The 11537-nt window shown below is 45.3% G+C and overlaps 1 protein-coding gene and 1 long non-coding RNA gene across 5 annotated transcripts in view, besides 3 other annotated features; one reads left to right on the top strand and one right to left on the bottom strand.

The window, feature by feature from the left end:
- The window catches only part of KCNJ1 (potassium inwardly rectifying channel subfamily J member 1), a 29277-nt gene extending 19238 nt beyond the window's left edge, over positions 1–10039 (bottom strand). For 2 of the 4 annotated variants that reach the window (NM_153765.3, NM_153767.4), the window contains exons 1-2: positions 9916–10039; positions 9266–9398 (exon numbers count right to left, since the gene is read on the bottom strand). In NM_153765.3, coding sequence (NP_722449.3) covers positions 9266–9295 — 30 coding nt within the window. In that variant the 5' untranslated portion in view covers positions 9296–9398; positions 9916–10039. The remainder of the gene's footprint in view (positions 1–9265; positions 9399–9915) is intronic. The other 2 variants (NM_153764.3, NM_153766.3) reach the window with 1 other exon arrangement.
- Positions 176–9922, top strand: LOC107984409 (uncharacterized). The gene is made up of 3 exons (XR_001748442.2): positions 176–233; positions 6640–6753; positions 9493–9922. It is a non-coding gene; the product is annotated as an uncharacterized LOC107984409 (long non-coding RNA).
- Positions 2457–2716: an enhancer, noted in NCBI's record as "active region_5744". NCBI's record gives its function as "activates an Ori minimal core promoter by ATAC-STARR-seq in GM12878 lymphoblastoid cells {active_cell/tissue: GM12878}" and the evidence as "EXISTENCE:reporter gene assay evidence [ECO:0000049][PMID:35858748]".
- Positions 2457–2911: a biological region, named in NCBI's record as "Sharpr-MPRA regulatory region 11395".
- Positions 2617–2911: a silencer, noted in NCBI's record as "tiled region #11395; HepG2 Repressive DNase matched - State 12:CtcfO". NCBI's record gives its function as "represses a minimal TATA promoter and a strong SV40 promoter by Sharpr-MPRA in HepG2 cells {active_cell/tissue: HepG2}" and the evidence as "EXISTENCE:reporter gene assay evidence [ECO:0000049][PMID:27701403]".

Raw genomic sequence — 11537 nt, forward strand, 5'->3', positions numbered from 1 at the left:
AAGGTAGCACCCACTGCTCCAGTGGGAACTCCATCCTGTCTTGGCTTCTTTCCATCTCTTATCAAGAGTGGCTGTCAGGTTGGTTGTTTATTTCCCTGCTGGTGATGCATTCACTTATTGTCGATCTCCCCTCTACAGAACACACCCTCCAGGACAGCAGCCCGTCTTGCCTTCCTCTGAATACCCAGCATGTGGACCCACAGTAGAGACTCTAAAAATCTTTCTTGACCAAGGTCAGTGCCCTCCCCTGGGCTGGGAGTGCCACAAGTGCAGGGACCTGTCAGCTGCATCCCTATGTTATACCCAACACTGCTCACTGGGCCTCAGGGCTCTCTCCAAATAGAGAAGGCCAGGGGAGAGAGAAGCTATTTTTTTCTCTAAGTTGTAGCTGAGCTAGTTTTTCACTTGCTCACTGAACTAATGACCAAGCAAACATCCAGGGATGGTGTGGACACTGCACATGGTGGATTCATAAGTGCCAATGCTGACAGGTGGCAAGGACGAGTGCCTGTGCAATGGCTCAGGATGCACCTGGGAGCATTGTCCCCATCTTGTCTTTTTAAGTTAAGCTTAGATTTTCTACAGTGAGTAATAGCACATAGATCTCATGTATTTTGAACTCAATATTGTGCCTGAAAACATACATAAAAATGTGTTTCTGGGTATTTATTTACATTTTTAAAAACTACCTAATTTTAGCATTTATTGGCTTAATAAAGGGTTTAAAAGTTTTAAAAAGTGCAAGAGCAGCTAAACCCTGTGCAAGAGCTTGGAGAAACTGAAGAAAATGTAGATAAAATAGAGTGGGCAAAGGGAATGCGAGAAGCTCCACGATGGCGAGAGATGGGGAGGGATGGGGCAGGATGGGGAGGGATGGTGAGGGAAGGCGAGGGTTGGGGAGGGATGGCGAGGGATGGCGAGGGATGGGGAGGGATGAGAAGGGATGCGGAGGCAAAGAACACTGGCAAGTAAGAGCAGCTAAGAATGAAGAGACAAGGAAATGCATGCTACAGACCAAGCAGAAGTGCCCAGAGAAAAACATCCACTCCTTAAGGAGGTTCGCAACACAGCAGTGAGCCCTACCATGAAAAACAGGCAAGAACAGTTAAATGTCAACTCTGCACCACCATATTTGATTGACGATTAACAACTGTTCAAATGGCACGTGTCTCCGTGGCAACAGCTAGGGTTTGTTGAAGGAGTGAATGGAGGAATGAATGAAAAATGGGAAGGGCACATACTTTTCAGAGTTATTTGAAGGTGAGGGAAGACAAGATGTATAAAAGAGACTGGCCAATAATAAATGTTCCATAAAGTTTTCTTGAAACTAGTTCAGTTGGGGTAATTTTCCTTCTCATCCATGGACCAGAAATCACTGACATTAACAGATCTCACTGTGTTCCAGGCGGTCTCCAGGGGTAAACTCAGTAGTTTACGGAGCGTCTATGTCACTCTGTGACATAGACAGCATTACTATTCCCAGTGTCTAAAGGAGGAGATCAAACACCAGAGAGGCTAAGTGATTGATCCAAGTTCACAGAGCTAGAAGGTTAGAATTTAGTCTACTATAGGACTCAGTTGGTAGCTATATGTCTACCTTGGGTTTAATTATTGGAAGAAACTCATTAAAACTCATCCTTTCCCATGTGACTTTGGCACAGACCTGAAAGGTGGTAGTGTATTTGCTACCAGACCCCCATGCCACCAGGCAGGTCACCCCTCTTATGTGATTGAAGGCACATAAGGGGTTGATTTCACTCTACAGGATTGGGGTTAAATGGTTAGTCCCTTCTAGGCATGGAATTCCCACAGGGGAAAAGGAACAGACACTTGTTGAATCTCTGTCACATACCAGCAACTGTGGTAGGGGCTTGGCAGAAATTATTTCATTCAATCTCACAGCGACCCCATGAAGTAGGTCTAATTTTCTCTGTTTGACAAGGAAGGGAACTGAGGTTTAGAGAATTTTAAAAACTCATATGAGGCAGAACTGGGGTAGGAACGCAGCTCTTTTTGAGACAGGGTCTTGCTCTGTTGCCCAGGCTGGAGTGCAGTGGCACAATCATAGCTCACTGCAGCCTCTACCTCCCATCTCATGGGATCCTCCCGCCTCAGCCTCCCAAGTAGCTGGGACCACAGGCAAGTGCCCCACTCCGGGCTAGTGTATTGATTGTAGAGATGAGGTCTCACTAGGTTACCCAGGCTGGCCTTGAACTCCTGGCCTCCAGCAATTCTCCTGCCTCAGCCTCCCAAAGTGCTGGGATTACAGCCCCGAGCCACCGCTCCCGGACAGAACCCAGATCTTAACCTGATGTCTCCACGCCAAGTTCCCTAAAGATCTGGCCCAGAAGATGAGTGAATTCCTATGTCTAAGGCAGGAGGGAAAAGGAAGGAAGGTCTGGGGGAAAGGCTGGCCCTCCCTCCTCACCTCCCTTCCCTGCGTGCCCTCTCCTGGCTAGCCCTCCCGTCTGCGTCTCTCAGGGCATCTGTAGTGGGAGCCGCCTGTGCTGGGCACTGGGGTACGGCCTTCTCAAGACCCAGGGAAGTGGGGGAGCTGGGCAGGAAATTAAAAGGAGCCAAATAAACAGAGTAATTATAGATTGTGATAAGGACTTAGAAAGAAACAGTAACTAGAAGTGACCTTGAAAAGTACCCGTAAGTAGGCACTGGTGCTGCAGACGGCGGGCAGCAAAGCGCAGGCGGGAGAGGAGGCGCGGCAAGGCCCACACTCGCCTCCGCCGGGCCTCCCGCTTACCAGCAGCAGCAGCGCCCCCTGGCGCCTGCCGAGGGCACTGCGCAAGAGAGGTCGGCATTGATTTCAGAAGGGCGCCCGGAAGGACACCTGTCTGGCCCCAGACCGGGCAGGAGCCAGGCCTCGGATTTCTCATCTGTCAGATGACAATGATGCTATCTACTTCCCAGGGCCATCGTTCAGATTAAATGATGCAGTGCTTGGGAGAATCCGGATGGATGAGCGACACTATAGAAACATGACTTGGATTTATGGCAAGAGGGACTTCAGTGAGACATGAAGAACTGTTGACTAGACAGGCCGGCAGGACACTGTGGCAGGTTTCCCGTGAAGAATTCCATACTGACAATGTAAAAGAGAGGCAATGACCGTCTGATATAAGTGCGTGACACTGCACAGGTTTCACTGTGTGAAATGCATACATGAGTTCTTGTAGAAATGAATTGATTTTTTTAAGAAGTGACTTAAGGGAAGGAAGACGTGACTTAAGGAACTCAGGAAGTCTCTGTGCCGTCACTAAGTCAGAGATTCCAGAAGATTCTCTCTGAAGAACAGTCACCAACTGGATTATTGAAAATTAGCCCACTGCCACCTCACGGGTGGGCCTTGTAACCCACATCAGCTGGACCAAGGGGCCTGGAGACGCAATAGCCTGGAAACAGGGTGACCCCAAGGGGCAGGCGGGATGCAAGCACAGAGGAAACAAGAAAATGCTGAAGGAAGCTGCTCAGAAAAGTGGAGGCCAGGTGGCTCTGAAACCCAGGTGTGACCACAGAGGAAAGTGCCCTGAAGGCCAGAGACCCAGCTCCAATTACCAGCTATGTGACAGGGGCACGCCCAGCCCCTTTCCTGATTTTCAGAATTTCCCTATCTGGGAGACGAAGATCATGTCGCCGGGGCCTGCCTGTAATACTTCAAAAAACACAAAAACACTCTATGCACCATGTAGAGGATTATTTTTGTGAACTCCAGGGCAGGGAGCATCAACAGCTCAGAGGCAGCACTGGCATCTGCCTCAAGTGTCCTGCCTTCTCTCCATCCCCAGGCACAAGCAGGGCCCACGAATGCCCAGCATCTGCTCTCCAGTCACTGGTGAAATATGGGTGGCATTCACTGTGTCAGCATTTGGAAATTAGCCCGCCTGTGGTCTGGCTGTTGGCGTCCCTGGGGCTCCCTAACCCACATGGCTACGCAGGCAAAGACAGAAACTCTGGTGCCGCCAGCTTCCGCCCGAGGCGCTTTTCTGCGTGGGGTGCTGACTGAGCAACTGAAGCAGGGCTGCAGCATTCACTGGCAGCTGAGACCCAGGATTGGGGGCCCTAGTGGGGCTGGGGTCAATGGGGATGGTACCATGGAGGGGCATGAGCTGGGACATTTAGAACAGAAAGAGAAACATGCCGAGTGAGGAGGCAAGATGTGAGCAGCAGGGCTAGCGGGTATCCCTGGGACCTCAGACAGAAAGGAAGCTGCAAGGGAGCTTGTACCCAGTGATCACAGGCTCATTTATGGGATAGACCCAGGCAACCTGAAGAAAGGCAGAATCAGAGCAATAGCCAGAGGTGACTGTCGTCAGAAACATACCCCTGCTCCTGGGAGCCACTGCAGAGCGGGATAACTGGGGCTCGCCTCCCTGGTGCAAGCCCAGGAGTGAGGGCCTTGTGATAAGATTTCCAAAAACACCAGCCCCGTGCCCTGCCTGTCGGTAAGCGGCCACCGGAACCCCTCCCAGAAAGATAGATGCAGGCTCCGTGTCTGTAGAAGTTTGTGTCCATTTCCCGCTGAAATGGACTCCTGCCTCTCCACACCCCTAAAACCCAAGCTTCTTCCTGATCTCCAACCCACATCCTAACGGGTGAGGTTGAAGTCTAATTTCCTCTGGCCTTCAGTGAGGATGAGAAAACCAGCCCCTTCATAGATGAGAAAGCAGTTTCAGCCCCCAGCTCTCGGCCGCGCTTCTCCGGTGGCTGCCTATTCCCAGCTTCAGGTCCCAGTGGCCGTGGTCATCCGCGTGGGAAGGGATTTGCCTGCTGTGCGCTGGGTGCCTGGGTCGCACCGCTCATCTTGCTGCAGTGCCATCCTCCCAGTCTCTCCACCCCTTTCCCCACTGCCACAAGATACTTAAGGGGCAACTTTGTAGAAATCCAAATCTGTAAACTCCACAGGCTGGGAAACACCCAGCCAAAGGAGCAGGTGTATCAGTAATAAGGGGAAGAAAATCCGAGTGCGGCACGGGGTTTTCTCCACTCTCTGGCAGCCTCCGTCCCCAGCAGACCTCATCCTGTCTCTTCAGTGGTGAGCATTGCCCAGGCTGGGTGTGAATTCTTATGCACAATGGATTCAAGCAGGACTAGGAGTGAGGAGACCCATGTTGGAAAGGACTCTCAGACCTGGTCCTGGGGAGCGCTCTGGGGGTCTCCTGACTCCCCTTCTCCACTCCCTCTGAGGGGATGGAGTATTGGGAGAGGAAACAGCCCTGTGTCCTACCGCCCCCTCCATCCCCCCCGGGGCTGCCCTAGAAGCAGACTGGGTCGGGGAGCCTGGTTGGTAGGTTAGAACGTGCTCATGCTCTGCCAGTTCGCTGATGTGTCATGCAGCCACTCTTGTACCTGCCATCCCTACTCATCCCCTCACGGGGACCAGAGCTTCTGCAGCATAGGGACTGTGTCATCACACTTCACTAAGGCCAGCACAGCGGGGGCTTCCCAGAGGTCTAAGGTGACCTTAGCCCATGCCTGTGGCTTATCTCTGAACCCGATTCAAGCTCCCCATACTCTGTGCATAATTCATCAGCAGTCCAACACTTCCCTTAACAGCATCCAAATACCCTGATCCCCAAAATGGTCACATGCACTTTCCAGCATGAGACCGGGATTACCCTTATCTCTCTGAATATCTCATCACTGGACTCGGACTCCAAGGGGCCACACACTTCACAGAGTCTTCTCCTGTGAAAAGACCCACAACAGTTATTCACAGTTGCTGAGTTCTGCTGAGCTCTTCAAGGACAAATGGTAGATCTGGATAAAGCCAGAAAGCTCCTGAGAATTTAATCAAGGGCAACGAACCATGAGACTTCCCCTACGGGTAGTCACCTGAGAGAACTTGGGCTGTTTTAACTCTGCAAAGACAGTATTAACCTGTTGCTTTCAATTGTGTTGGGTTGCATATTTAAATCTGTTCCCTGGGGATATGGTGACACACTGATAGACCCCAATAAATACAATTCCTGAATCCCAGCCAAGAAACACTGGTGTGTGTGCAACTGGAGCAGAGGGAGGGGCAGGGACATTGGGAAATTCTAAATAAATGGAAAAATCTGGCTTGTATTTCAAGGATTATTCAAAAAGAATCTTCCCTTAGAAGCATCAGTGAGTCACACGCATCTAACCAGAATGCAAAGTTTACAAAGCATGGTAATGGCAGAACACAGCACAGGGCAGATACACACATGCAGAGATGGACTCTGTTGCATACTGGGGAACCAATTTTGAAAAGTAACAACAGGCTTCTTCTGAGAGAGGAAATTATTCATCCAAAACAGTGCTGGGAAAATTCAGATTTACATTTTTCCTAGGGCCTTTGAGTTGCATATTTCTGCAATGAGTGAGCTGGATTTGATGAGGCTTTACAATGATTGTTCAAAATTAGTGTTTCAATGCTCTGGTTTTAAATGGAATGCTTTTGGGTTGGGTTTTATATTTGACAGCTAAGGACCTTAATAACAGTTTTTGAGAAGCAACTCCTTAGGGCAGAACATCTTTGGATCCTCAATAGTTTTGAAGCGACCTGTTCTCTGCACTATTTTTGGTTTCTTTCTGCTATTTTTCTAAAAAGAATCCAGGAGTTTCATGTGTAAGAGCATCGTTCTTTTTTCCGTTTGCTCACAGATTCTGACGAGGCAATGGCAAGAAAGGCTGACACTTTGCACATCCTTCACAATCTTCTGCAAGGATGGCTTAGAATCGTCCTGCGTGGAGGAAGGAACAACCTTTGACCTTAAGGTAACTTAAGGTTTGACCTTAAGGTTTATTACTGACTTTTCTTTTTCTTTTTTCTTTTTCTCTCTTTTTTTTTTTTTTTTTTTTTTTTTTTGAGACAAAGTCTCACCCTATCACCCAGGCTTGAGGAGTGCAGTGGCACGATCTCAGCTCACTGCAACCTCCGCCTCCCGGGTTCAAGCAATTCTCATGCCTCAGCCCCCTGAGAAGCTGGGACTACAGGTGTGTGCCACCATGCCTGGCTAATTTTCAAATTTTTAGACAGATGAGGTTTTTCCATGTTGGCCAGGCTGGTCTTGAAATCTTGACCTCAGATGAGCCTCAGCCACCAAAAGTGCTGGGATTACAGGTGTAAGCCACTGCACCAGGCCTATTGTTGACTTTTCTAGGGGTCTATCTTTTATATGTCTCTACACTAATTTTTTTCTTCAGCATTTTTTGAAGATGTTTGTTTTTGTTGTTTTCTTTTTCCAATTTCTGCACACCCTGCTTGTTCATGATGATTTCTGAACCACATAATCGAGCCAACCACTTTTTGCTATTTCACAGCAGTACTAATACTATTCCTGAACCATATATATTTCAGGAGAAAGAGCAGATTGGGAAAGCCTAGGCCCTTTTCTGTATACTTTTGGCTTGAGCCTAGGTCATCACAGTCTTGAATGTGGGAGGGTGAGTGGAAGGAAAAGGGTCTGTGCCATTCAAAGTGTGCTCTTTTTGCGGACTTTGGGAGTCTCTGGCTCCTGTTTCAGAGCTCCACTTCATCCTCGCCTGTCCCCATCACTCTCTGCAGCTGATTGGCCACCAGACTTTGTGTCTTCTCCCTCTTGGTAATCTCCTCCCTGATTACCCGGCCGTGGTCTTACCCTACTCTAGTCCACCTTGCACTGTGCAGGCAGAGCAACTCTTCCACAATGTAAATAAGATCTTACCCCGGTTCTCACCACCTTCCGGACACTGCCCAAGTTCCTCAGCATCACATACTAGGTCCTTCATCGTGGCACCCTGCAGCTTCCCTCACCCCTCCCCTGGCCACCCACCCTCAGCCACACCAGCCTGGTATTCCCTGTGTAAGTCATGCTCTCTCTCATTCTTGCATATTTTTGTAAATGCCATTTCCTTGTTCTAGAATGTTCTTCCCCCTGCCTCCAGTAGGCCCCTTCCTGCCCACCCAGCGCATTTAGGATCATGCTTCCATGAGGTCCTCTGTAGGAAAAGTATGATGTACTTTTCTGTGCAGGCAGCGATGATACTATGAGCTACATTTCTGTGTCACAGTCCCCACTCATCAGGTATCTCTCCCATTAGCGTGTGAGAGCCTGTTTCCATGCACATAGCCCCTAGCCCAAGTACCTGCCCTCTAGAGCAAAGCATTTCCCAAGCCATTCAGTGGTTTCCCAGGACCTAGCATCCAAAACACAATGAGTTCTAATTACAAGCTTGTTGAAAGGCAAATGAAGAAAAAAACCTGTATGTATAATAATAATAGTCATGAGAAAGACAAGAATGAAGAGAAGAAAGACAATAGTCATCACTGGCATCTTAAATTATGGAGCCAAGGGGAGAAACATTTGGGTCACCCTCAGGATCAAACTGCCAGGCCAGAAGCAATTCCACTGAGAGGGCACCAGGAAGCCTTCAATGCATGGAAACCCTGGAGCAAGTAAAAGGCAAAGCATGTGAGTCACAGCTGAATCCCTGGACAATCACTGAGCTGTGACAAGGTGCAGGGTAGACTCATAACCTAGCACAGAAAAACACATTACTGAGGAAAGGAAAAGAACGTGAATGGGGAATTTTGAGACTTAGCTCTTCACAGAAAAGCATGCTTGGCAATTACAAACTTCTTATATTAAAAAAAATCAGGCAAACCAAAAGTCATTAAAGCATTAAAGATTAAGACCCACTCACAAGGAATTCACATACTCTGCTTCTTTACAAGGGCAGTCTTGCACCTACACTGACTTGGTGCACCTCCTTACACAGAAGAAATCCACCTTCATGACTTGAGTATAAAAAAATGCTTTTCTGATGGCCCATACGTTCCCAGATATCTCCACCCCATCATGCTCTTAAAAGCTGAAGCTGACTTAGTGAGAATCCATTTACACTAAACAGTGTAGAGTAAGACAACACAAGCCAAGCCCATGACTGAAGGGAGCCCACAAAGACTGGGCAGCTCCTCCAATGTAACCGAAGATTCAACCAAAGATTCTAACTGCCCTCCAGCCCCAGGGCTACGGAATGGCCCAGGGAAGGCAGCGTGCAGCTCGCAACTAATAATCCAGGTACAACCAGCAGATCAAAAGCATCCAGTGAGTGGCTCTGCCAAGTCCCTGTCCATAAAAGGTCCATAGCACAATCACTATGTTTTGCTCCATTTTGTAAGCCCAGCTAAAAGGAGAAAAATTCAATCATTTTTCCTAAAGATTGCTGGTTGCGAAAGACCAACTCCTTTTAAGCGTCTATGCACCAAATCTGTAAGATACAGATATTGGGAGAAGGGGCTCCATACCTGTTCAGAGCAGAGATAAACAGTTGGCATTCACTGGTATAGAGCAATTGTCACAACAGTCATTAGGAAGCTGAACAAATGTTGAGAAATCCAAATGTATCCATTCAGAATGGTGCAAAATTCCTATAAAGTCCTACATCAGAAAATGAAAGAAAGACATTTGGGTGAAGGTAATCAAAATGTCTGGCTAACTCTTGCCTTTTCCTGATATATGTTTTCCATAATAGACCCCACTAGCACCTTGATCCTCTACCTTAAAGATGGAAACGGCTTGGCAGAGGTTGTGTTACTAGGCAAGGTCTTGCTACAATTGAAAGGATGCCACCAGAGATGAAAACCCTACATACATCTCTGCCACCAAAAGAAGACTTTGGAATCAGGCATGATGCAACCAAAGATTCTTACTGCCCTCCAGCCCCAGGGCTGCGGAGTGACCCAGGGAAGGCAAGATGCAGCACACAGCTAATAATCCACATGTAACCAGCACACCAAAAGCATCCAGTGAGTGAGTTAAAACCATGCTTCTATCTATCCCCCAGGAGTGGACAGACAAGTCTGCCTAGATTTGAGGCGGGGAAAAGAGGTCTAAATTTTCACAAGAATTAACTTCTTTTTCCTACAAAGAGACAATGAGGTGTTTCTCCTCTTACCTCATGGATTGCTGGAGTAAATGTAGAAACAAAAACTCATTTTCTTGGTCTCCAAGAAAGCAACCAGATTCTCGATGTGAGCAAGTCCCTGCACCTTTGATGCAAGAGTTTGGATATGCTAGGTGAGGGTACCCGAGGCCCTGTTGATTTTATGAGTCTGTGGGCCAGCTCAGACCGGCTGCCAACTCATCTGTATGCAACAGTTCTCAAAGAACATAGTTTACTTTATAACCGGATCCAACAAGAGTAGGCGTGGCAGTTAAGTGAGTGAGATACCAAAGGTGTTGAGCTACCAAGGCTAACTAAGAAGGATTTGTTTATGGAACCCTGGCTTGGAACCAGAAGGCCGGTATGCTCATGTCGATGTGTCTAAGTCAAAGGCATGAAGTTGAACACGTGCGCACATGAGGCTGGATGTTACAGGGCAGGGAAGTAGGGGTCCCCAAGGAGCCCCTCACAAATGTCTCCTGTCCTGTGAATCACTCAGTGGCCCTAGAACAGCAGTCCCCAACCTTTTTGGCACCAGGGACCAGTTTCATGGGAGACATTTTTTCCATGGACCAGGGAGGTGGTGGGGGAGGATGGTTTCGAGATGATTCAAACACATGACATTTATTGTGAACTTTGTTTCTACTGTGTTTACTTATAATAATTACTTTACTTCTATTATATTCTATTATATTCCTTATTTCATTATATATTATATTCTAATATATAATGAAATAATATTCTATTACATTATATAATATTCTATTCTATTCTATAATATTATAGAATGAAATAATGAATATGGGATGAAATAATGAAATATTCTATTCTATTATAGAAGGAAATAATATTCTATTCTATTCTATGAAATAATATTCTATTATATTCCTTATTTCATTATGTATTATATTCTAATATATAATATAATATATATTATGTATTATATTCTAATATATTATATAACATATATTATGTATTATATTCTAATATACTCTATAACATATATTCTGTATTATATTCTAATATATTATATAACATATATTCTGTATTATATTCTAATATATTATATAACATATATTCTGTATTATATTCTAATATATAATATATATTCTGTATTATATTCTAATATATAATATATATTATGTATTATATTCTAATATATAATATATATTCTGTATTATATTCTAATATATAATATAATATATATTATGTATTATATTCTAATATATTATATAACATATATTACGTATTATATTCTAATATGTTATATAATATATATTACGTATTATATTCTAATATATTATATAACATATATTACGTATTATATTCTAATATATTATATAACATATATTACGTATTATATTCTAATATATTATATAACATATATTACGTATTATATTCTAATATATTATATAACATATATTACGTATTATATTCTAAATATTATATAACATATATTACATATTATATTCTAAATATTATATAACATATATTACGTATTATATTCTAATATATCATATAATATATATTATGTATTATATTCTAATATATAATGAAATAATTATACAACACCACCATAATGTCGAATCAGTGGGAGCCCTGAGCTTGTTTTCTTGCAACTAGACAGTCCCATC

Source organism: Homo sapiens, chromosome 11, assembly GCF_000001405.40.
Source record: "Homo sapiens chromosome 11, GRCh38.p14 Primary Assembly".
NCBI lineage: Eukaryota > Metazoa > Chordata > Mammalia > Primates > Hominidae > Homo > Homo sapiens.